The sequence below is a fragment of the Homo sapiens genome, chromosome 4 (assembly GCF_000001405.40).
Source record: "Homo sapiens chromosome 4, GRCh38.p14 Primary Assembly".
Classification (NCBI taxonomy): domain Eukaryota; kingdom Metazoa; phylum Chordata; class Mammalia; order Primates; family Hominidae; genus Homo; species Homo sapiens.
In genome coordinates this window covers 68343653-68370456 of record NC_000004.12, presented here as the reverse complement: position 1 = coordinate 68370456, position 26804 = coordinate 68343653, and the positions used below count along the sequence as shown (strand labels likewise).

The following is a 26804-nucleotide window of genomic DNA, read 5'->3' as shown; positions in this document are numbered from 1 at the left end:
ATGGAGTCCCTTGAATTGCTTATCACTTGTTTGTTGTTGTCTTTTTTTTTTTTTTTTTTGAGATGGAATCTCCATCTGTTACCCAGGCTGGAGTGCAGTGGTGCGATCTCGGCTCACTGCAAACTATGCCTCCTGGGTTCAGGCCATTCTCCTGCCTTACCCTACTGAATAGCTGGGATTATAGGTGTCTGCCACCATGCCTGACTAATTTTTGTATTTTTAGTAGAGACAGGGTTTCACCATGTTGGCCAGGCTGGTCTCGAACTCCTGACCTCAGATAATCCATTCTCCTTGGCTTCCCAAAGTGCTGGGATTACACGCGTGAGCCACTGAACCCGGCCATTGTTGTTGTCTTTTTTTTTTTTTTTTGAGACAGAGTTTCTCTCTTGTTGCCCAGGCTGGAGTGCAGTGGTGCCATCTTCGCTCACTGCAACCTCCACCTCCCGGGTTCAAGCGATTCTCCTGTCTCACCTGGGACTACAGGCACGCACCACCATGCCTGGCTAATTTTGTATTTTTTAGTAAAGATGGGGTTTCTCCATGTTGGTCAGGCTGGTCTCAAACTCCCAACTTCAGGTGATCCGCCTGCCTCAGCCTCCCAAAGTGCTGGGATTGCAGGCGTGAGCCACCGCGTTTGGCCCTGTTGTTGTCTCTTGAGGCAAGGTCTCACCTCTGTCTCGCAGGCTGGAGTGCAGTGGCACGATCACAGCTCACTCCATCCTCCCACCTCAGCCTCCCAAATAGCTGGGACTACAGTCATGCAACACCACACCTGGCTAATTTTTTAAATTTTTGTGGAGACAGAGTCATGCAGTGTTGCCTAGGCTGGTCACAAATTCCAATCAATCCTCTTGCATCGTCCTTCCAAAGTGCTGGCATAATAGGCATGAGCCACAGCTCTCCCAGACACTTGTTAAAATGGCAGATTGCCAGGCCCCACGAAGAGCCTCAAATCTGATATCTGGGATTAAGACTAGAAATCTGCACTTTGGACAAATTTTCCTTGTGAATCATATACACCGTATAGTTTGAGAACTTCTGATCGAAAGGATGAATTTCAAACTCCCTACTTGTACATTAAAAACAATGCCTTGGGCAGTGCCTGCTTTGTAATAGATGCTGAACAAATACATGTGGGAAAAAACCCAAGGAGCCAGGAAGAGAAGAAAGCAAGGATGACTAATCAGGCTACTTAATTTTTGGATAAAATTAAGTCTTAAGATGAAGGAAAGGAGGATAGACTAGATCCTCTACAGACATTTTGCACATATTAATTTCAAACTTCAGTCAGCTTTCTGCCATATTTTTCTTTCTCCAAAAGGTTAGGAAGCCCTTGAAAAACAAATACAATGATTAACTAAGTGTACATTTAACCACCGAATTTCTAAATGCCTTTCATTCTTTTCTTCTTTTTATTACAACTTTCTCTGCTTGCACTGGCATGCAAACTGGTTATGCTGGTCAAATGAGTCAATTCAGAGGAAAGCGTTAATTTAGATGAGAGCGTGTTTGTGTTGAAATCTTCCAGAGGCACACATAGTCACACGTGCACAAAAAATGTGGCTTCATATCTGTGTTCCAGTCAGTCTAAACAATTTTTTAAATATTCCTGGAAATTTGTCCTGGAAGCTGCTTTAGAAAGTTTGGCACAATTAAGTCCAGACTTACCCAAGTAAGAAGTTCCCTTTCGATTTTTCAACCACTTCCTTCCCCTTATCCCCACCACTGGTTAAAAAGAAAAAAAGAAAAAACAGTGATATACTTCTACCACATTCCACTATTTAGAATAATAGAAAATTAGAGCTAAAACTACTAAAAGCCATGCTTAAAATTTTTATAGCATTTAATGCTTGTAAAGGTAGTTTCATTTCACATGCACAGCTCATTTGATCTTCACAATAACTCTGTGGTTGACATTTTATAGATGAAGAAATCGAAGCCATGTGACGTGCCCAAAGTCAAGGAAAGTTCAAGCTCCATATCGTTTTTCTTTTTTTCCTTTCTTTCCTTTTTTTTTTTTTTTAATTCTTTTTAGACAGGGTCTCATTCTATTGCCTAGGCTGAAGTGCAATGATATGATCCTGGCTTATATCAGCCTCCACCTCCTGGACTCAGGGAATCCTCCCGCTTCAGTCTCCCAAGTAGCTGGGACTACAGGCATGTGGCACCATGCCCAGACAATTTTGCAGGGGGTGTTTTTTGTAGAGATGGGGTGCAGGGGTCTGTCCTGCAGACCCTGACCCAATGACAGATGAATAACGTGCACTGACACAGATATTCTGCTTTGCCAGTCTGGCTGAGCATCCAGACCACTTACAGACACCAAGAAGAGTGCTGTAAATAGTTGGAACCTCCAGCCTAGACACAGCAAGACTCACATTCATTCAGTAAAGATTAATTGACAAAGGCTTGAGTCAACACCACTAGAGGGTAATTGACATTGCGGACCTCCCGAGTAGAAAGCAATTAAGCACACTAAGATTAGTCTTAGGACCACATGAGTAAACAAGCTAGTTAGATAAACTCCCCCACATTCCTTTGTATCTACTTTAACCTATTTAACTAAAGGTAAAGGGACTAGGCTGCCTTCAGCTAGATCTATTACTGAAGTTATGCAAACTCTCAGGCCTTCCAAGAGGGTTTGTGGCTATGATAACTAAAATTTTTCCCACCAGCCTGACTGAACCCCCACAATGGGGTTTCCCCATTTTGCCCAGGCTGGTCTCAGAACACCTGGGCTCAAGTGATCCACCCCACTGAGCCTCCCAAAGTGCTGGGATTACAGGCATGAGCCACTGCATCTGGCCATGAGTCCAATTTCTTACTGGACAAAGGAGAAAATATAGGAACAGAGAGAATAATTTATATAGAGTTGATTGAATGCTGGTCACTGGTAGAATCCAGAGCTGTTGATATCTTCTGTTTATTCTTTTTTTTCTTCTCTTTACTAAATACTTCTTTGATAATTTTGATGTGACAGGCATTCTGCTGGGGCTCCATAGTAACTTAAAATGTATCTATAATTATAATTGTTGTAATGGAGACAAGTACAAATGCAGTGAGAATGTAACTAATAAATGCAGGTTAGTCACTCAATGCTTGCAGAGCCCAATTAACAAAAGCGAGGTCTGGTATAAACAAAGTGATTTATTTCCCAAGCTAGCTTAGGGGAAGAAGCACAGGAGTCTTGACTTTAAATGTACTACTTTGTTTCTGGAGCAAAAGCAGGCACTTACTTTCTTTTTCCTTTTTTTGTTTTTTCATTTTCTTTTTTCTTTTTATTTTTTTATTTTTTTATTTTACTTTAAGTTCTGGGATACATGTACAGAACGTGCAGGTTTGCTACACAGGTATATGTGTGCCATGGTGGTTTGCTGCACCTACGGACCCATCCTCTAAGTTCCTTCCCCTCATCCCCAACTTCCCAACAGGCCATGGTGTGTGTTGTTCCCCTCCCTGTGTCCATGTGTTTTCATTCTTCAACTCCTACTTATGAGTGAGAACCTAAAGCAGGCACTTTTAAAAGGCAGGAGAGGAAGTGAGCAAGGTGAGGGGTCTGCATGTTAGCTTGGTCCCTTACATACCAGGAGGTCAAGCTGGTGACTTCTGGCATTTTTGTGGGCAGGACTATGATAAAAACTCCCTAGCTGGGAGACAGTAGCGGACATGTTTTTCAATTGTTATCTCTTGAGGTAACCCTCTGGTGGGTGAGAGTTCCATAGCAGGCATGCTTTGGTCTATAAATCGACTGTTAACTCTCAAAGAGAGTTCCGTCTTAGAGTGCATAGATGAACTTACCCTGTAGGGAGCGTCTGGTGAAGGGGATGGTAAAAGGCTATATTGTCATTACTAAAAGACTAAGTAGAAAGTGGAGAACAGGGGTGTATCAGTCCATTTTCACACTGCTATAAAGAACTACCTGAGACTGGGTAACTTATTTTAAAAAAAAGGTTTAACTGATTCACAGTTCTGCATGGCTGGGGAAGACTGAGGAAACTTACAATCATGGTGGAAGGTGAAAGAGAAGCAAGCACCTTCTTCACAAGGTAGCGGGAGAGAGAGCATGAAGGGGGAACTGCCACACACTTTTAAACCATCAGATCTGGTGAGAACTCAGTCACTATCATGAGAACAGAATGGGGGAAACTGCCCCTATGATCCAATCACCTCCCACCAGGTCCCTCCCTTGACATGCAGGGATTACAATTCAAGATGAGAGTTGGGTTGGGATGCAAAGCCAAATCACATCATTCCATCCCAGCCCCGCCCAAAGCTCATATCCTTCTCACATTTCAAAACACAATCATGCCTTTCCAACAGTACCCCAAAGTCTTAACTCATTCTAGCATTAACCCAAAAGTCCAGGTCCAAAATCTCAACTGAGACAAGGCAAGTCCGTTCTGCTTATGAGCCTGTAAAATCAAAAGCAAGTTAATAACTTCCAGTGTATGATGGGGTTACAGGTATTGGGTAAATGGTCCCATTTCAAACGGGAAAAATTGGCCAAAACAAAGGGGCTACAGGCCCCCGTGCAAATCAGAAACTCAATAGGGCAGTCATTAAGTGTTAGAGCTCCAAAATAATCTCTTTTGACTCCATGCCTCACGTCCAGGTCATGCTGATGCAAGGGGTGGGCTCCCAAGACCTTAGGCAGCTCTGCCCTTGTGGCTCTGGGCAGGGTACAGCCACTGCAGTTGCTTTCATTGGGTGGCATTAAGTCCTGACATTGAGTGCCTGCAGTTTTTCTAGGCACACAGTGCAAGCTGTCAGTGAATCTTCCATTTGGGAATCTGGAGGACAGTAGTCCTCTTCTCACAGCTGCATGAGGTGGTGCCCCAGTGGAGGTTCTGTGTGGGGGCTCCACCCCACAGTTCTCCTCTGCATTGCCCTAGTATGAGCTCTGCATGAGGGCTCTGCCCCTGCAGCTGACTTCTCCCTGGACATCCAGGCGTTTCCATACATCCTCTGAAATCTAGTTGGAGGTTCCCAAAGCTCAACTCTTGTCTTCTGCACACCTGCAGGCTTAACACCATGTGGAAGCCATCAAGGCTTGGGGATTGCACCCTCTGAAGCAATGAACTAAGCTGTACCTTGTCCTCCATTGGCCATGGCTGGCACTGGAGCAGCTGGGACACAGGGAACCATGTCCCAAAGCTGTACAAAGCAGGGGGGCCCTGGGCCTGGCCCACGAAACCATTTTTTCCTCCTTGGCCTCTGAGTCTGTGATGGGAGGGACTGCTGTGAAGAACTTTGAAACACCCTGGAGAGGTTTTCCCCATTGTCTTGGCTATTAACATTTGGCTTCTCTTTACTTTTGCAGATTTCTGCAGCTGACTTGAATTTCTCCCCAAAAAACAGGTTTTCCTTTTCCACCACATGGTCAGGCTGCAACTTTTCCAAACCTTTACACTCTACTTCTCTTTTAAACCTAAGTTCCAATTTCAGATCATCTCTTTGTGAATGCATATGACTGCAGGCTTTTAGAAAAAGCCAGATCCCACTTTGAATGCTTTGCTTCTTAGAAATTTATAGGCTGAGCATGGTGGCTCATGCCAGTAATCCCAGCACTTTCAGAGGCTGAGGCAGGCAGATCACGAGGTCAGGAGATTGAGACCATCCTGGCCAACATGGTGAAACCCCGTCTCTACTAAACAAATACAGAAAAGTAGCTGGGTGTGGTGGTGGGTGCCTGTAGTCTCAGCTACTTGGGAGGCTGAGGCAGGAGAATGGTGTGAACCTGGGAGGCGGAGCTTGCAGTGAGCCGAGATCGTGCCACTGCACTCCAGCCTGGGTGACAGAGCGAGACTCTGTCTCAAAAAAAAAGGAAATTTATTCTTCCAGATAACCTAAATCATCTCTCTCAAGTTCAAAGTTCCACAGATCTCCAGGGCAGGGGCAAAATGCTGCCAGTCTCTGGAGTAAAGCATATCAAGAGTGACCTTTACTCCAGTTCCCAATAAGTTCCTTATCTCCATCTGAGACCATCTCAGCCTGAACTTCATTGTCCATATCAATATCAGCATTTTGGTCAAAATCACTCAACTAGACTCTAAGAAGTTCCAAACTTGTTCCCATGTCTTTCTGTCTTCTTCTGAGCACGCCAGACTGTTCCAACCTCTGCCCATTATCCAGTTCCAAAGTCACTTCTGCATTTTCAAGTATCTTTATAGCAGTGCCTCAAACTCCAGTACCAATTCTCTGTATTAGTCCATTGTTAAACTGCTATGAAGAACTACTCGAGACTGGCTCATTTATTTAAAAAAGGTTTAATTGCTTCACAGTTCCACATGGCTGAGGAGGCCTCAGGAAACTTATAATCATGGTAAAGGGTGAAGGAGAGGCAAGCACCTTCTCACAAGGTGACAGGAGAGAATGAAGGGGGAACTGCCACACACCTTTAAACTGTCAGATCTTTTGAGAACTCACTTCTCACTTTTGAGAACTCAGATCTTTTGAGAACACCATGAGGGAAACTGCCCCCATGATCCTATCGCCCCATGGCCAGGTCCCTTCCTTGACACATGGGGAAGGATTACAATTTCAGATGAGATTTGGGTGGGGACACAGAGCCAAACCATATCAAGGGGAAAAGGAAAAAGAGAAGAGAAAATAATAATAGTTATTCATTCCCTTTTTCTTAAGAAAAATGGGGATACTCGGTTACAGGAACACAACAGAGACAACTAATTCTGTTAGGGAGAGGTTGTCAAGGAAAAATTTCTTGGTGAGATGCAGAATTAGCTGAAACCTGTAAGAAAAAATCATGTTTTTCAGGCAGTGAGTACCCAGAGAACGGTCTAGAAAGGAGCATATGACTAACTCATGGATTTATTCCCATTGTATGTCTCTATAGTGTTGTATACTATTCCTGTTGTAACACTTGCCACCAAGAGATGTAAATTAGCCATTGTCTGTACCTTAGCTCCCTTTCCCCTTCACCCTCACTTCCCCACTGTACTGCAAGTGCTGGAGATGTGAGGTGAGGAGAAGGCTAATTCCCAGATCCCTAGCATGAGTAGGTTAGTGGACAGTGTGGGTAGTGGTGGATCAAGGGGGTACTGTTGAGCTTTTTAAAATTGAGCTAATCATGAGACATCTAAGAAAAGATGTCAAGGAAACAACTGACATCAGGTGAGAAGTCTGACTGAAGTAATCATTCTTGTATAGATGATGATTAAGTCACAAGAGTTGTTGAGCTTGCCAAAGGAAAGCTCTTTACCTTTCAGCTGCCTCAAAACAATCTTGTTTACAATGAGAGGCAGTTAAATCCAAGCACACATTACAGTAGAATCTACAGAGAAAGGTAGCTGTATTTAGATTGTGGTTTTCTCAAAAAGGAGAGTTGAAATATTTATCCTAATGTTCATTATCTACGAATAGAGTTAGGGCAAAGTTCTCTATTTTGATCTATGAGCTATAGAGCAATTGAACATTTTTCACCCAGTATTATACTACGCTTATTATTTTGCGTATTTTGCTATTTCCTTTTTCCTTCATGTCCATCTTTTTGTTTGCAAATAACAAAAAGCAATTCGAGTTATATTAGAGGAAAAGGAAAACTACTGTGAGGGTAAATGTATCTGTCCAAATCGAAGGGTAGAATGCAACCAGGTCTCAAGAACTGCCGCTGAAATCTAGAATGCTTTAAGACAAATGAGATGTGTTTCCCCATTTCTGGTTTCCCTTTGCATATTTTTATGCTTCTATACTGGAAGATAAATCTTATTTACTACTAAGTCCACATAATGGTCAAAAAGTGACTGCCTGTAACTTCAAATTTTCATGAGTTATAGTTTCAGCCACACAAACAGGATGATTTCCAGTCTGATTCCCTTTCCAAATTCTGGGAGAAGTGACATTGAACCTATTCCCATCCCTATTTACTCTCATCAGCTGTGGCCAGGATATCCTATAAAATCATACATATATAGCTATGAGTGCTGTGTATCTGAGGGGCAGTTAAGCATAATGGTGTGCTGAAGCTTGCCTGTAATGACTTATAAGAGCCAGTTGTTAAATTTTTAAAATTTTTGTAGACTGGTTGTTAAACATAGGGATTATTAAAAAATAAATTATACAAAGTTAATAATATTAAGTATAGTTAAGTAAACTATATTAAATACAAAAGTAATAAATATTCAAAATTCACCACTTCCTGATTCTTTCAATTATAACTTAATATTATTTGTTCTTGAGGTTATTTATATTTACAATTATTGCACCTGTATGGTGAAAATACTATAAAATTTTGTTACTTCTCATTTCTTCCTGTGTTCAGTGATGAGATGTCACATAGATAGTTTGAAATTGGTCATGGCAGGAGTAATTACACCACATAAATTGACAAACATTACAAATAAGTTTTGTTTTATTTTGTTTTTCTGGAGAGCTGGTTGTTAAACATTTACCAGTTCACTACTGGTAAAAGGAGTCATTGTCAGAAAACACGTTTTACCCCACTACAATATCTACTACTTCTACTATACTAGAAGATAACTTCCTTCAAAGTAACAATAACACATTTGCTTGCAATGTTATTGTTTCTTCCACAGTATTTGGCATTCTAATTAAGTTATAAGAAAGCTGATACATGGCTTGGCTACCATGATTAGAATTTAATTATTCATGACACTTCTAAAAAGCCCTGCTATCAGAACATTTATGTCCCCTGCCTCCAAAATCCGTTTGTTGAAATTCTAAGCCCCAAGGTGTTGGTATTAAGAGGTTGGGCCTTTGGATGGTGATTGGATCGTGACAGAAGAGCCCTCATAAATGGGATTAGTGCCCTTAAAAAAGCGGCCCCAATGAGCTTGTTTTCCCCTTCCAAAATATGAAGACACAATCTATAATACTTTGTTATAGCAGCCCCCCGGAAATAAAACATACCCACATACAAATGTTGTTTTTGTTTCTTTTTCCTGTTTCAAACAGTATCTTACTCTGTTATCCAGGCTGGAATGCAATGGTGCAATCATTGCTCACTGCAACCTCAAACTCCTGGGCTCAACCACACCCAAGCAACTTTTTGTAGAGACAGGGCCTCATGTTTACATTCTACAAGCATTTTTTTTTTCCAGAGATAGGATCTGACTCTGTCTTCCAGGCTGACATGCAGTGGCAGTGTCATACCTCACTGCAGCATTGAGCAACCTGGCTCAAGCAATCCTCCCACCTCAGCCTCCCAAGTAATTGGAACTACAGGCATGAGCCAACCACACAATCACACTCAGCTAAGTTTTTAAATTTTTGTCGAGACAGGGCCTCACTATGCTGCCCAGGCTGGACTCTGACTCACGTGAGCACAGGGATGACTCTGAGTTCCGTCTCTTGTTCACAAGGAATTTCCTTATGGGAAAACTGCAAGGGAAGCATGTAGCTTTTTAATTTTTGTAGCTATCTTATTTAGGAATAGAATGGGAGGCAGGTGTGCCCATTGCAGTTCCCAGCTTGACTTCCCTTTGGCTTAGTGATTTTTGGGTCCTGAGATTTATTTTCCTTTGACAAGAGTAAAGTGAGTTTTCTCAGGTTGATAATAATGATGATCAATTGCTGAAGTACTTAGCACTAACATGCATACACACAACAGGTTAGTGATAAGTACTTCACATATGACTTGATGAAGAAAAAACTATTGGATTAGCTATCCTAGTTAAAGAAAACAAAATGAGGTTCAAAGAAGTAAATAATTTGCTCAAAGAAGTAAATAATTTGCTCTGGGTAGCAGAGCGAGGATTCAAGCCACATCCCTAACTCTGGAGCCAGGGCTCTTCACCTCTGTGTTACACTTCTCCACGTTCACATAGCTTCTAAGCAGTAAATGTTTGCTAAAATGCTAATCTTATTTATGCCCAAGCCCATACTCCTAAGCAATGAGAAAATGTATGACAGATTATATTTTCAAGTGTGTTTCGACCCAGTCCAATATTTTCAGATCTGAATTGATTCTTCAGAATTTCTTTTCTTCTTAGCAACAGGTCCTGAGGACTGCAGTTTACTTGCCTCTTCTCTTTGGAGTAGTCATCCTGGAAATCACCTCTGAGAAGTCTTAGAATCACTGTCCCACCAGCTCTAATCTTCTTTTCTCATCCTGAAGTTATGCTAAACACATTATTTATTAAATGGTGGTGGTGGTGGTGGTGATCATCTTTTTTTTCCTCTGGTGCCTGTTTTGGTAATCTCTGTGGTATAAGGAGACAAACGTCACATACACAAGAAATTGCAAAAGTTGTAGAAATCTAAATGTTCTTTCTACTTTGCAGTTTTTGACCTTCTTTCTTAGGTTGTATCTTAAGGCCTCACTAGATTCTTTATCATCAAAGTGGTTATCACAAAAACTTTGTCCAAGAAGAGGGTCAGAGGGAAATTGGGTGGAAATGTGCTTCTGAATGTCTACAGAGACATTAAGTGAAAGTACATAGGATTTGCACCCCACTTCCTGTTTGGAATTTTGGAAGCAGAGTGCCTAGAGCCAATGTGAAGGCCACAGTAGAGTTAAAATGGTTAAGTAGCATGTTTAAGCAGGGGGAGCCTAGGAGATTGTCTCTTGGTTTCCCAAGATGTGAAGAGAACTAGAAATGCCCATGTAACTCTGGAGGTGTGTGCAAGTTAACCATGGACTGAGTGAGTTTTTCTCCAAGGAGTCACCACTGCAAAGGCCAGTGCTAGGGTCAAATGGAGTATGCACATAAGTGAGTCTTGAAAAATCCACAGTACCAGCAAGAGCTGAAGTGAAGAATCTGGTCAGCCTGAGGAGATGGTGGGTTGTGATCCTTATAAGAAACTGCCATACATTGGCTGGGCCAAAAGAACAGAGCATGAGTTACAGCAGTCTCATACACTTCAAAACAGAAACAGAAACTGAAGCCTAACTACCAAGAGAAATAAGATGCACTCTTATTATGCCTTCAAGTTCCAGGAGAGAAGGAGAACATTTGGGTCAGTCACTCTTCTTAGCTTGGGTAATGTTCTCTGATTGTCTGCTTTGTATGAATCAGGATCCTATCAGAAAACAGCATGAATGCCAATTAGGGGGAGTTTAATAAAGGGACTCTTTACAAAAGTGCGGGCAGAGTGTTAAGAAACTATACAAGATAGTGCCTTACTATCCCAATTAGTCAGCCTGGGCTTCCATAACAAAATACCACAGACTGGATGGCTTAAACAACAGAAGTTAATTTTCTTACAGTTTTAGAGACTGGACAGTCCAAGATCAAGGTTCGTTCTAACAGGGTACAATATCTGGTGAGGGCTCCCTTCCTGGCTTACAGACAGCTGCTTTGTCCTCACATGGCCCTTCCTTGGTGCCTGAATGAGAAGAGAAAGCAAGCTCTCTGGTGTCTCTTTTAATAAGTACATTAACCCAACTGGATCAGGACCACACCCTTATGAACTCATTTAAGTTTAATAACCTCCTTAAGGTCTTATTTTCGAATATAGTCATATTGGGGAATAGGGCTTCAACATATGAATTTGGGGGTGGATGGGAGTTCATTCCATAGCACTACCCTGGGCCTGGATGGGCAAGTGGAAGGCAGAGTTACTAGAGCCCAGATAGAATAGATGTATAGATAGGGTTGAAAAGGAATTGAGGTCATAGATAGAGAGACAGAGCTACCCTATGTTAACCCTACATAGAGGGAGCCATGAAAATAAATAGTTCAAAACCCTTACTTTCTTCCTATCTTCAAATGCCTGAACTCAACCAAAACTGAGAGAAGATAAACGATTATTGTGTAGTCCCTATGAATGAGATTCTTAAGGAATAGAGCAAGGTGGAAAATTGATCAGGGTGGCCACAGATATCCAGCACACCCTGTATCAAGATGCCACCAAGAAGCCGGCGTGATGGCTCACAACTGTAATCCCACCACCTTGGGAGGCCGAGGTAGGCGGATCACTTAAGGCCAGGAGTTTGAGACCAGCCTGGCCAACATAGTGAAACCCCATCTCTACTAAAACAACAAAAAATTAGCCAGGCATGGTGCCGCGCACCTGTAATCTCAGCTACTTGGGAGGATGAGGCAGAAGAATGCTTGAACCCAGGAGGAGGAGATTGTAGTGAGCCGATATCATGCCACTGCACTCCAGCCTAGACAACAGAGCGAGACCCTGTCTCAACAACAACAACAACAACAACAACAAAAAGACTAAATGTTTACTCAGAAGAAACTTTGTTCCTAATAAAGATAACAAGTCAGGCGCTGTGGCTCATGCCTGTAATTCCAGCACTTTGGGAGGCTGAGGTGGGCAGATCACTTGAGGTCAGGAGTTCGAGACCAGCCTGGCCAACATGGCAAAAACCCATCTTTACTAAAAATACAAAAATTAGCCAGGCATGGTGGTGCTTGCCTATAGTCCTAGCTACTCGGGAGGCTGAGGAAGGAGAATCGCTTGAACCCAGGAAACAGAGGTTGCAGTGAGCCAAGATCGCACCACTGCACTCCAGCCTGGGCCACATAGGGCATACTCTGTCTCAAAAAAAAAAAAAAAATCCCTTATAAGACTGTGATAAGAATTAAGTGAGGTAAAATATAGGCAGCACACAGAGCAGATTGGGCACAGTCAGTACTCAGAAAATGTCAGCTACCGATATTACTCAAAAGTAAGCAGAACAACTTCAGAATTCCAGAATTCTATAAATATCTCAGGAATAATTAACCATGTTTTCCAAAAAAGGGCCTTGTAAAATGTTATCTTTTTTTGGAAGTACTTATATTTTGATAGTCTATTTCCTGTTATGAAACTCAATAAACCAATATAATTGCTATTAAAGGATTCAAGGCTGCATTCTGTGGTACATGTAAAAGCTAAATGAAAATTTAACATTGACATCCTACTGTGGAAGAAAAGGCTTAGGTACCTGGTCTTAAATCTGAAGATTAATACATTTCCAAATTTAAGAATACCCAGTGATATTTAAATATTCCTTTTATTTATTTTTCAATTAAAAATATAATTGGTGTTATTGTAATTAAATCACAAGCTGTTTCAGAATGTTAAATAAGATAATATATGTCAAAAAGAAGTTATAAGTAAATGTATTGGTAAAATGTTAGTTATTTTAAAACTACAACATATGCTAAATTTCACAGGCAGGAACTTGGCACAACACAAATGACTCTGCTGCATTACACTGTTAAAGAAAATCACAGTTGAATAGTAGCTAGAGCAGAAAAAACAAATTTTATTTAGTAAATATTGCAATGTAGGAAAATAAACCTCAGTATGGAATTGGGCTCAATTCTGAATACAGCATGAACAAGGGGAGATTTATAGCAAATGAACAGGGTTGGGGGTCAGTGGATTGAAAATTACTAAGAGGAAACATTAGGGGTGTCTTTGTCCATTTTGTGCTGCTGTAACAGAATACCTGAGACTGGGTAATTTATTTATTTATTTATTTATTTATTTATTTTTTTTTGAGACGGAGTCTTGCTCTGTATGCCCAGGCTGGAGTGCAATGGCGCAATCTCGGCTCACTGAAATCTCCGCTTCCCGGGTTCAAGCGATTCTCCTGTCTCAGCCTCCTGAGTAGCTGGGATTACAGGCATGAACCACCACGCTTGGCTAATTTTGTATTTTTAGTAGAGACGGGGTTTCTCCATGTTGATAAGGCTGGTCTTGAACTCCTGATCTCAAGTGATCCACCCACCTTGGCCTCCCAAAGTGCTGGGATTACAGGCGTGAGCCACCATGCCTGGCCCAAGAGACTGGGTCATTTATAATGAACAGAAATTTATTGGTTCATAGTTCAGAAAGCTGAGAAGTTCAATGTCAAGGTGCTGACATCTGGTAAGAGCCTTCTTGCAGCATCATTCCATGGTGGAAGGCAAAAAGGCCAACAGAGGGTTGAAGTCTCCTTTTTATAATATCAGTCCCACTTATGAGGGTGGAGCCTTTATTGCCTAATCACCTCTTAAGGGTCTCACTTCTTAATACTGTTACAATGGCAATTAAATTTCAACATGATTTTGGAGGGGACAAACATCCAAATCATAGCAAGGGGTAAGAGGAGATTCTTGCTAAACTGATTTGATAGTATTCTTTCTAAAGGCAGGTTAGGGTGATCAGATATCATCTGGGGGAAGGTAGAGAATAATGAATTTGATCAGATTTTGAAGGTGACCAGATACCAAAAGCAAGGGACTCTTACTAAAGTGACTTAGCAGGAGTCTAGCTAAAACTGAACAAATAAAGACATGGAAGCCTAAGGTCAAGGTCTAGTTGACAAAAGGTATCAGAGGAGCCTGACTAAGTTTGGTCAAGGAGAGAGTCTTTGTATTCATCCACGTAACCACCACAACAATCAAGATATAGAGCATTTCCATCTCCCTAGAAGGTTTCTCATGCTCCTTTGCCATTAAACTTCCCCAACATTCTTGCACCTGGGAACCACAAATGTGATTTATTTCTTAATGACTAGTGTCATCTCAACCATATTGTGTCCAGCATCTTTCACTCAGCATATATGTGAGATTCATCCATGTTGTCATGTGTAGTTTTTGTTTTATTGCTGAGCAGTATTTTGACTGATAAATATGACACAATTTGTTTTTGTTAGGAGGGGAAATATTGGGTCCTATGATAAGTACTTGTTTAGATTCATAATAAATAATTACTACTGTTTTCCAAAGTGGTTGTACTATTTTATATTCCTACTAGCAAAGTATAAATGCTCTAATTGCTTCAGATCCTTGCCAACATTTGCTATTTTCATTTTTTATTATGTATTTATTTATTTATTGACACAGGGTCTTACTCTGTCACCCAGGATGGAGTGCAGTGGTGTAATCAGGGCTCACTGCAGCCCTCTCCTCCCCAGGCTCAAGAGTTCTTCCCACTTCAGCCTCCCAAATAGCTGGGACTACAGGCATGTGCTACCATGCCCTGCTAATTTTTAAAATTTTTTGTAGAGATGTCTCACTATGTTGCCCAGGCTGGTCTCAAACTCCAAGCCCAAACAATCTTCCCGCCTCAGCCTCCCAAAGTGCTAGGATTACAGGTGTGAGCCACCATGCCTGTGCGACACTTGCTATTTCCAATCTTATTAATTTTAGCCATTCCAGTGGGATTGAAGTGATATTTCATGATGACAATGATGTGATAATTGCCTGTTCAACACATCTTCTATGATGAAGTCTTTTGTCTATTTTTTCAAATTGGGATATTTGTCTTTTTACTGAGTAGCAAGTCCTCTCTCTGTATATATCCTACGAGTCTTTTGTTGGACAAATGTTTTGTAACTATTTTCTCCTAGTCTGTAATGTGCCTTATTCACTTACTTATTCATTTAGCATCTTTTAAAGACCATAACATTTTAATTTTTTGAGCTGCAATTGTATTAATTTTTAAAAATGTTAGGACTTGTGATTATTTTATATGAGAAATCTTTTCCTACTCCAAGGTGGTAAAAATTTTCTCCCATGTTTTCTTCTAGAAGTTTTAAAACAACTTTTATATTTAGACCTATCATCCATTTTGAATTAATTTTTGTGTATTATGTAAGGTAGGGGTCACGGTCATTTATTTCCATATGTATATCTAATTGCCTCAACACTATTTGTCGAAAAGGCTATCCTTCTACACATTTCAATTATGTTGGTACCTTTGTCAAATTCAATTGACCATAATATCTGTGACTCTACTTTTGGACACTGTGTTCTGATCTATTGATGTATTTGTCTTACTTTACATAAATACCACACTATCTTGATACCATAAGTTTGTAGTAAGCCCTGAAATCAGGTAATGCTAGTCCTCCAAAATTGTTGTTGTTTTCCAAAATTGTTTTCGATATCCTATATCCATTACCTTTCCTTGTAAATTTCAATTAACAAGAAACTCAATATTGTGAATTTCTGTTAAAAAGCACTGAGGTTTTGATTGGGATTGTTCCAAATCTATAGATGAAATTAGGTAGAATTGACATCAATATTGCCCAATGCTCTTGACACTTTTTATTGCTAAATTCCACTCATCTCAATTCACAATTCGTTATCATCAGTACAAAAGGAACTGCCTTCAGAAGCATTATATTTCTTTTTACTACATATTGAAATAATTTTTTGGTAATTATTGAGGTTTTTTAAAAAAAATTTTATTGCAGTAAGAACCTTGAACATGAAATCTACCCTCAACAAAATGTTAAGTGCAGAATACAGTATCATTAACAGCAGGCACAACATTGTACAGCAGCTCTCTATAACTTATTTGTCTTGCAGAAATAAAACTTTATACCTGTTGAACAGCAACTCCCCATTTCCCTTTCCCCCTAGTCCCTGGCAACAACCATCTTACTGTTTCCGTGAATGTGAATATTTTAGATACTTCATAGAAGTGGAATCATGCAGTACAGTATTTGTCCTTCTCCGACTGATTTATTTCACTTAGCAGAACATCCTCCAGGGTCATTCATGTTGTTACATACAGCAAGATTTCCTTTTTTTATTTTTATTTTTATTTTTATTTGAGACACAGTCTCTCCTCTGCGGCCTAGGCTGGAGTGCAGTGGTGCGATCTCGGGTCACTACAACCTCTGCCTCCCAGGCTCAACCGATTGTCCTGTCAGCCTCCTGAGTAGCTGGGATTACAGGTGCGAGCTACCATGCCAGGCTAACTTTTGTATTTTTAGTAGTGATGGGGTTTCGCCATGTATGCCAAGCTGATCTCCAACTCCTGGCGTCTAGTGATCGGCTTGCCTTGGCCTCCCAAAGTGCCGAGATTACAGGCATAAGCCACTGTGACTGGCCGATTTTCTTCTTTTTTAAGACTGAATAGTATTCAATTGAATGTATAAACCATATGTTTTTTAACCCATTCATCTTTCAACAGACGTATAAGTTGTTTCAAAAGATACCAGGTTTTGGCAAGGATACGGAGAAATTGGAATACTTATACACCATAGCAGGAATGTAAAACGGTGCAGCGACTATATAAAAAAAAAAAAGAGTATGGAAGTTCCTCAAATATAGAACTACCATATGATCCAGCAATTCTATTTCTGTGTATATATCCAAAACAATTGAAATCAGGCTCTCAAAAGAGATATCTGTACTTCCATGTTCATTGTTATATTTTTACAATTATATTGTGATGATCCCTGAGGTCTGAAGAGGATTTTTGGCTGCAAGTTTTTAGTTCAGCATCTTTACCCAGAAAGTTATTTCCACCCATAGCTAGGCCAAAAATCTGAGTCACTCAATACTACATTTTCTGGTTAAGTTCACCAACAATAATTGTTAGAACAATCCATCTTTCCTGAACTACAGAAACAATAAAAATAACAATAGCTCCAGCTTATTGATCACTTAACTGCCTTTAAAAAAATCATTTGAAACATTATAGCAATCCTTTGGAAATTATTTCTAAATTCCCATTTATTAAGATACTAAAGATTAGAAGTTAATTTCTCTAAGGTCTCATGCTATTGAGAGACAGAGCTGGAATTTGTACCCACGTCATTATGACTGCAAAGCTTACTCTCTTAATCACTACACAATAGCTTCAGACCAATGTTCAACATACCTAGAGTTCATCCTTTATAACCTCAACAACTTTTCCTATTTACTAACATGACTGAATTAAAAACCGCATTTTTTTACAGCTGTGCTCTTAGTTTAACATAAACTTACTTCATTTTATTTTTTGAGACAGGGTCCAGCTCTGTTGCCCAGGCTGGAGTGCAGAGGCGTAATCATGTCTCACTGCAGCCTTGACCTCGCCGGCTCAAGCAATCCTCCCACTTTGGCCCCCAGAGAAGTTGGGACTACAGGTGTGCACCACCATGACCAGCTATTTTTTATTTTATTTTCTGCAGAGATGTGGTTTCGCCAGGTTGCCCAAGCTGGTCTTAAAACTCCTGAGCCCAAGTGATCCACCTGCCTTGGCCTCCCAAAGGGCTGGAATTACAGGCATGTGCCACTGCAGCTGGCCCCATAAACTTATTTTAATAACAAAGATGCAAATATGGAATTCTATTTACATTAAAAATTACTCCTTAGTTCTAATAGGACAAATGTAGAATCAGGGAAAATGGCATTTTGATATCTTCTAAATTACTTGGCTGTTTTCTTATGCTCTTCTTTACAAAAAATTATTAAAGGAAACTCAAATATGCAAAAAAGTAGAGAAGAGAGTATAATATTAACTAATGTATGTGGAAATCAAAAGGTATCTGAGGCAGGTCTCAATCAATTTAGAAAGTTTATTTTGCCAAGGTTAAGAAAGAGCCCATGACAGCCTCAAGCTGTCCTGATGACATGTGCCCAAGGTGGTCGTGCACAGCTTCATTTTATACATTTTAGGGATACATGAGACATCAATCACCAGCTTGACTTCTTCCTTTGGCTTAGTGATGTTGGGGAGATTTTCCTTTCACATATGTATCGCCCAGCTTCAACAATTGTTAACTCATGGGTAGACTTGTTTAATCTATTCTCCTACCCATTTCGCTACACCTGCCACCAGTTTGATAAATCCCAGATACCATATAATTTCATTTGCAAATATTTATTACTATTCTTATTATTATTTTGAGACAGAGTCTAGCTCTGTTGTCCTGGTTGGGGTGAAAGTGGCACAATCTCAGCTCACTGCAACCTCCGCCTCCCGGGTTCAAGCAATTCTGCCTTAGCCTCCCGAGTAGCTGGGACTACAGGCGCATGCCATCATGCCTGGCTAATTTTTGTATTTTTAGCAGAGACGGGGTTTCACCATATTGGTCAGGCTGGTCTCAAACTCCTGACCACAGGTGATCCGCCCGCCTGGGCCTCCCGAAGTGCTGGGATTACAGGTATGAGCCACTGCATCTGGCCTGCAAATATTTTCATATGAATCATGAAATTATAAGAAATTCTTTAAAAAGCAAAACTTATTAAAACTAAAAATACAAATAGCAATTCCTCAGGATCATCAGATATTATTTAATGTGTGTGTGTGTGTGTGTTTGTGGCGTGTGCGTGTTCGTATATTCAAATTAGTGTTCAATTAAGGTCCTAGAAATGGGGCCACTCCTGGTGGCTTCACACCTGTAATCCCGCACTTTGGGAGGCCGAGGTGGGAGGATTGCTGGAGCCCAGGATTTAGACACTAGCCTGGGCAAGATGGCTAGGTGTTAGCCATCTTGCGGAGATGGTATATCTCCACAAAAAATGCAAAAAATGTGTCGGATGTGGTGGAGCATGCCTGTAGTTCCAGCTACCTGGGAGGTTAAGGTGGGAGGATCACTTGAGCCCAAGGTTGCAGTGAGCCATGATCACACCACTGCACTCCAGCCTGTGTCACAGTGAGACCACGTCTCAAAAAAAAAGAGGTACCACATTCTAGACTTCTAGACTACTTGTCTTTCCCTGAATATGCAGTTAGTTTGCCAGTTTGTCTTCATATCACGAAGTTACTTAGTTACCTTTTTCAGATTTTTCTTTCCCTTATAACTCAGTTATAGTTCAAGGAAGCAAAATTAGATTGTTTCCGTTGGACAATGAATCTTAAGCAAGTTTCTCTTGCAGATTTTACCACACTATGTAGTTATGTATCTACTGGTCATTTATTCTGTAGTTTCGATTCCTCGATGGTCTGCTTAAATCAATTTTGTGCCCCAGGGCCTTGATAACATGTTTAAATTAGTTATTAATTACAAAGACCTATTATGATACAATTCTTTCCCCAATTAAAAACAAAACTAGGCCGGGCGTGGTAGCTCACGCCTGTAATCCCAGCACTTCATCCTGGCCAACATGGTGAAATCCCGTCTCTACTAAAAATAAAAAAATTAACTGGGCGTGGTGGCGGGCGCCTGTAGTCCCAGCTACTCAGGAGGCAGAGCCAGGAGAATCGCTTGAACCTGGGAGGCGGAGGTTGCGGTGAGCCGAGATCGCGCTGCTGCACTCCAACCTAGCGACAGAGCGAGACTCCGTCTCAAAACAAACAAAAACTAGCAGGCTTTTGTGACTACAAACAAGCTGGTTGCATGCTGCACTGCCTTTGGGTAAGAGTGGAACTCCAACTAAGAAAGTACATCTGGTAAACATAAGGGATTCACCCAGACTTGTCCTAAATAAGACTCCGATTACCCGAACTGAATCAGGAGTCCTTTAGAGCGACTCTAGCTAAGAAGGCCTGTTAGGCCCTGCACTAAGAGTTTCAGGTGGGAAAATTGCGCCATCCAGTTATAGGCCGTACAGCGGGAACTCCATGAACAACCTGGGTAACCTAATCCCTGAATAAGACTCCTTCCAGGTACCAGTGGGCTGAGGGCGGCAGGGCGACGCGCTGACGTCACGTCACGTTCCTTTGCACGTCCCCGCCTCCCCGCCCCTCTCCGCACTGTGACGTTCCCAGAGAGGAACGAAGCGTAAACAGCGCAGGGCATTTCGGGAGCGGGATTGTTTCGCGCAGGAAGCAGGCTCCATTTTAGCGCCGCCCGCCGTCGCCATCTGTTTCCCTTCCCTCCCCCATACCTAGCCCGAGTCTGAGCCCTAACGAGAAGGCTGGGCCTAGGCCGCTGGATGCTGGAGTGAAAGGAAGGGAGAAAGGGAAAAAGCGGGAAGAGTCGAGAAGGCTGAGTGTTAAGAGGCCAAGTGCGACGCGCGTATCCGGGCAGACGGACTGACGGACGGGCCCGTGCTTCTGCCGCGGCTGCGGCGCCCGCGCGAGTCGCGTCTAAGCGGCGGCGGCGGTGGCAGCGGCGGAAACCGAAGGGGAGCCATGGCGGCTGACAGTCGGGAGGAGAAAGGTTAGTGCGGAGAAAGATGACGGGCCGAGGCGAGGCTGGGGCCCGGGAGTGGGGTGATGGAGCAGTGGTCGTCGTTGGGGGTGGGGGGTGGGGGTTGGGGAGGTTAGCTGGCCTCGCGAGGAGCCGGTGGCCCCCACCGAGACACTTAGACTCTGGCGGAGACCAGGCCTGCCCTTTCGTCCTCAGTCTCCATATGGCCTAGCACTTCATCTCAGTAGGGTTTTTCTTTGATGCGGATTTCACGCTTGACTTTCCGTTTAGCTGTCTTGGGCTGAGAGGGGCCCTTTCTGAGTTGCAAGCTCCTAGGTTTATTTCCTGGTAGGATCATGCGGATGTAACGCGTATTTTCAGGACAACCATTTCTGTTAGGCTAAAATTTGAAAACCCCTAATGCCGCGATCAACACTGGTGGTGTGGTAAGTGAGCAAGTTTAGGAAGTGGCACTGGCAGGTTATTAATCTTGAGAAATATCTGCAAATAACTTCTGGCTGTTCCTGTTAAATAGGCAAAGTGAATTACCCGTTTTGTTCCTCGAATACTTATTTTGGAAAAACATAGTACTTGGAAAAAGGAATACTTAGTTTGGAAAGATGACTGTGTGACTTAGGCTGGCAAAGAAATCCTGGGTGCTATTATGTTAGAAAAACCGTGTGTAGCTCCCAGAGGGTACAGTCAGAAACAAATGAATGCAAGTTACAGAGAGTTGGAGGGATAAATTTCAGTGAAATGTAGAGAGAACTGACGTTGCTGTAATGGAAAGATAGTAATACTAAGTTCCCAAGCCCTAGAGATATTAATGTAGGTCCTAGATCAGTGTCTCTCTGGAGAGTGGTCTAGATTAAATGCTGCTTTAAGATCTTTTTCAACCCTAAGATTAACATAATAGTCTTGGAAAGATTATAGTTAAAAATATGACACGGTCGCTGCTCTGTGTCTCACACATCTCTTCTGTGTGCCTAATTGATTTGGGGTTTTTTTGTCGGGGGTTGTTAAGTGGGCTCTAGAGTCAAGTTACATTAGGCGTGTAATCCTTTTTTCTTAATTTTTCTGGTTTCTGCATCAGGAGAGTCTTCATGCTTCAATGAACTGCCCTAGGTTAGGGACAAGCTGGGAAAGTGGAATGGGTGGGAATACTTTTAAGATACTGCCCTTATCCTAAAGTAGTTCTTTGATTAGGTTATAGCAGTTTAATGTTCCATCCTTAAACTAAATGCTAAAAAATCTCCCTGGGCCTTTTTTTTTTTTTTTTTTGAGAAATCCAGAAGTAATGGGAACATAGGATTGTATGGTGTTAGTGAGTAAAGGAAAATGCTTTTAATTAGTTAACTCAGTTATTAAAATACATGATCTTAATTAGTAAGTATTCAGCAAACATCTGATTGTCTTTCTAATTTATGAACTGTGGATATGGGAGTCTGTAGTGGTTGTGGTGGGCGAAATGAACCAAACACAAAAATGAGTAAAATTCAGTACTTCTCAAGAATTCGTTGTCTAAGATGAAAATATTTACAAGTCGTTAATAGAGTAGACGCAGTAATGCACATTGAAGAAGAAAAGTAGATGATTTTAAAAGTTTTGCTTTAGAAATGATTTAGTGATGATAATGCAGTCCAAATACATAAACTGTGTAGCTATTACTGGGAAGTAGTGATATCACCTGTTGTCTATACATAGGATACATTTCCCCACTTTTGAAAAGGTTCTTTGCCTCACATTTGCTTAGTTTTTTTTATTTAATTTTCATAACTTTATTTAAAAACTTGATGTAAGTGCTTTATCTTTATAGTTTAGAACAAAGATTGTTTCTGGACTACACGGAGAACTAGCACTTACCTACTGGAATTGTTTATTTCGTTTTGGGAGAGTTCTAGGTAACCTACAGGTTGTATCATTTACTTGATGATCATCATCACACACTTAGCTTTATAGTTAGAATCAATACTTAGGTCTTCCTCTCTTAAGGAAAAGTGGGACTCTTAAGCGCTTTATTGTCTTACATGAAACAGGAAATTATAAGGATAAACCCTCTAAAAATCTCAGTCATGTCACAAACGTTAAGTTCTTTCTCAAATGATTCCATAAATGGTTTAAGATCTTGATAGCAAATGAGTCTATAAGTTGCAGAAATTGGCAATTATATTAATCACAGAACAGTAAAGACCCTTGTTCATAGAGTTCTTGATGGGGTTTTGCACTTATCTGGGTAATAAAGACATGAATTTCTATAATCTATAACAATGCTTCAATAATACTCATACCTAGAAGCTGCAGCCCATATAAGTGGACAGATTGCTAGCTCCCTGTGATTCCTGTGGTGATAATTTGCCCAAGAAACTGGATTTGAAAGGTGTTGCAATGTTGGTGTTAACTAATATTAAATGCCATTTTTCTATATAAGGAGGAAATATGCATCTTTTCTATTATTGCAAACACCTTGTATAAATTGTATTAATCTTTTACAAAGTTCTCTACAAAGAACAGTTACAAAAGTTTAATCTATCCAAAATGTGTATGAGTAATGTGTAATGAGTTACTGTGTTAAAAATAACGTGTTTTCTAGATTACCAGACTAGAAGCTCCCTGAGTGCCCGGAGTACATCTGTCTTGTTCACTGGGTTCTTTGTATACAGTAATTGTGTTTCAGTACCTTGAGTATTTACCAGGTTGGACTTCATTGACTGACTGGTTAAATGACATGTGCAGTATGATAACGAAAGCTAAGAGTTTCTCAGTTTAAGTTATACAACAGTTCTCCCCTGACCCCCAACCTCTACCAGCCTTATTTTCCTGGTAAATACGTTCTAAGATCCACAGTGGATACCTGAAACAATGGATATTACTATATCCTATCTATACTATGTTTTTTTCTATATGTATATACCTATGATGAAGTTTAATTTATAAGTCAGGGACTGTAAGAGATCAACCACAACAATAATAAAGTAGAACAGTCATTACAGTATGCCATCATCACTACTCTTGTGCTTTGGGGCTATTATTAAGTAAAATAAGAGTTACTTTGAACACTGACACTGCCATATGTGGACAGTTGATCTACTACCCGAGACAGTTACTAAATGACTAATGGCAGGTAACATATGCAATGCAAATATTTGTTGACCAAAGGGATGATTCATTTTCCAGGCAGGACAGAGTGGGACAGTGCGTAATTTCATCACACTACTTAGCGCACAATTTAAAACTTATGAATTATTTCTGGAATTCTCCATTTTTATATCTTTGGACAGTGATTGACTCAGTTGACTGGGGGTAACAAACCCTCAAAAGCAAAACCTTGGATAAGTGAGGGACTACTGTATATATACACACAGTTGTTTTCAGACGGCTTCTGTCGCCTAGGCTGGAGTGCAGTGGAGCAGTCACGGCTCACTGCATCCCCAACCTCCCAAGGGCTCCCTAGTAGCTGGGACTACAGGTGTGTGCCACCATGCCCAGCTAATTTTTTATTTTTAGTAGAGACGAGGTCTTCCTATGTTGCCCAGGATTGTCTTGAACTCCCGGGCTTAAGCAGTCTGCCTGCCTTAGCCTCCCAAAGTGCTGGAATTACAGGTGTGAGCCACCGTGCCCAGCCGTTATACAGACGGTTACATGCAGGTGTGTGTGTATATATATATATATATATATATGTACACACACAGTCATGTGCACACACATGCACACAGTCACGTGCACACAAACACAGTCGTGTCATTTAACAATGAAGATGGGCATTGTTAGGCGGTTTTGTTGTGTTATCATAGTGTGTTTACACAAACTTAGGTGGCATAACCTACTACATATCTAGGCTGTATGGTATAGTCTATTGTCCCTAGGCAACAGATCTGTTGGGCGTGCTACTGTAGGCAGTAGTAACACAATGGGAAATATTTGTGTATCTGAACATCAAAATGATGACTGTGCCACAACATTTGTATATACTATGTGTATATACTATGGCCCTCACTATAGTAATTTCTTAGGATAAAATTGCCTGTCTTGGTTCACTTTAGTTTGGGCTCTGTAAGGCATAGAGTACATATTGATACTCCAATATATTTATTTTACCTATAGTATAAGTAAGGTAGAAAATTTAAAATGATATCTTTGCACTTAAATTGTATGTTTTTATAAGAGCGGTTTTGGATGGGAAATCCAAGTTTTTAAACTTCATTTGGAGGAATGACGATTTTCAATGACAAAAACTGAGAAACTGGTCTAAATGTACAACGTACATTACAAGACAATAGAAGGGGGAGGTTCTAGTAATCTTGCTCCATTGCCAAGTCCCACTAAAATTATATTAAATGAATTAAAATATAATTTATTTTGGTACCTTGTGTTAGAAAACAAAATGTGTAGTATATTTAGTATTTAACTTTCCTTAAATACTAAATCTTAGTCTGATGCTGGAACCTCACATGTTAATAAATAGCACTGTCTTCTGACCCAGAAGCTTCTGCAGTAAAAAATGACTGTCCCAGATAAAGGTTAATTTTCTACCCTGATATCCCTAGAGTTAAAGTTTGTGACCTTCCTGGCCAAGAATGTAAAGATTATGGTAAATTTTAAGTTCCCATGTTTACCTAAAACAAAAATCCCCCAGCCAAGCAACAAACAGCTAGCTTTGTTATTTCTAACATCTTGTCAGTTTTTGAACAGGCCTTAAAAATAATGATTTTTTTTGTTGTTGGCGGGGAGACAGGGTCTTACTCTGTTGCCCAGGCTGAAGTGCAGTAGTGCGATCAGGGCTCACTGCAGCCGCGACCTCCCAGACTCTGGTGATTCTCCCACTTCAGCTTCCTAAGTAGCTGAGACTACAGGTGCGGTGCACACCACTAATTTTTGTGTTTTTTGTAGAGATGGGGTTTCATCATGTTGCCCAAGCAGATTTCAAGCTCCTGAGCTCAAGCTATATGCCTGCTTTGGCCTCCCAAAATGCTGGGATTACAAGTGTGAACCACCATGCCCGACCTGTTACTCTTTTTATATCCTTGTTTACTTCCTGTATCCTGGGAATCTGTACCTTTACCTCAAAACTCATTTTGCTATTAGTTTGTGTATAATATTAATACAAAACATTCACACGTGATTATACTTTCACGGAGGAATCTAGCAGCCAACTGTGGAATCTATCAGCCAGCTGTTTCATTTTTAATTGAGGCAGCACTGAAGAGTCATGCAATTCCAAATAAAAATCTGGGTTTCAGAGTCCTCTTGAAAATGTGGAAGATCTGACAACACAGTGCTTGCAACTGTCAAGGAAGTTAATCTTCTGGAGTTGAGTAGGATTGTCCCCTTTAGCTTTCCTCCTCTTTCCCAAAGTATTATATACGGTATACTAAAACTAGTTTGATGTTCCTGTGCCTTAGTGTATTAAACTGAGCCTTGGGTTTTTTCAAGTTTAAGATCAGTGTTATGCAGGGGTTGCAGATGTGTGTGCATGCCAGAATCTGGCAGATAAAGATAAAGTACTTGCTTAATACGTTAGGTATCATGAGTTTGTTTTTTTTTTTTTTTAAGAGCCAGCATGCTCTTTGTTCAGGTAGTAATACTGATTCACCAGATACAAACTCATTCACCAGATACAAACCCAGATTGTCTCATGCAAAACTTTGACATATGTTACCTTCTCTGTGTCTTAACAGAAGACTAGACTCTTCCAGCTGGTTGTTTTCAGGTGAGAATCTGGGCCCCTAATAATCAAATAGTATTTTTTTAAGTGGGTTTTCATATTAAATCCTTAGAATTTTTAAAAACAGCATTCAAGAGCTGAGTTTATCCTCTAGACTGCTAGTGTAAAACTTTTAGATAGATTTGAATTTTAGCTCTAAATGTAAATACTGTTTAATGTAGGATTGTTTCATTAAGCTTATTTCTTGAACTGGCACATTATAAAAAAATCCATCTTTTTGTGACATCTTAATTTTGGAACAAAATTTTATAGATTTTAACCTGAGGTCAGGAGTTCAAGACCAGCATGGCCAACATGGCAAAACCACTTCTCTACTAAAAATATAAAAATTTAGCTCGGCGTGGTGGCAGGTGCCTGTAATCCCAGCTACTTGGGAGGCTG

General features: G+C 40.8%; 1 protein-coding gene across 4 annotated transcripts in view, besides 1 other annotated feature; it reads left to right on the top strand.

Annotated features, from left to right (window-relative positions):
* Positions 20367–26804, top strand: part of YTHDC1 (YTH N6-methyladenosine RNA binding protein C1) — a 39704-nt gene continuing 33266 nt past the window's right edge. For all 4 annotated transcript variants that reach the window (NM_133370.4, XM_005265708.4, NM_001031732.4 and 1 more), the window contains exon 1: positions 20367–20731. In NM_133370.4, coding sequence (NP_588611.2) covers positions 20704–20731 — 28 coding nt within the window. In that variant the 5' untranslated portion in view covers positions 20367–20703. The remainder of the gene's footprint in view (positions 20732–26804) is intronic.
* Positions 20419–20998: an enhancer, noted in NCBI's record as "NANOG-H3K27ac-H3K4me1 hESC enhancer chr4:69215177-69215756 (GRCh37/hg19 assembly coordinates)". NCBI's record gives its function as "activates a minimal SCP1, AML or CMV promoter by ChIP-STARR-seq in primed H9 embryonic stem cells {active_cell/tissue: H9 hESC(primed)}" and the evidence as "EXISTENCE:reporter gene assay evidence [ECO:0000049][PMID:30033119]".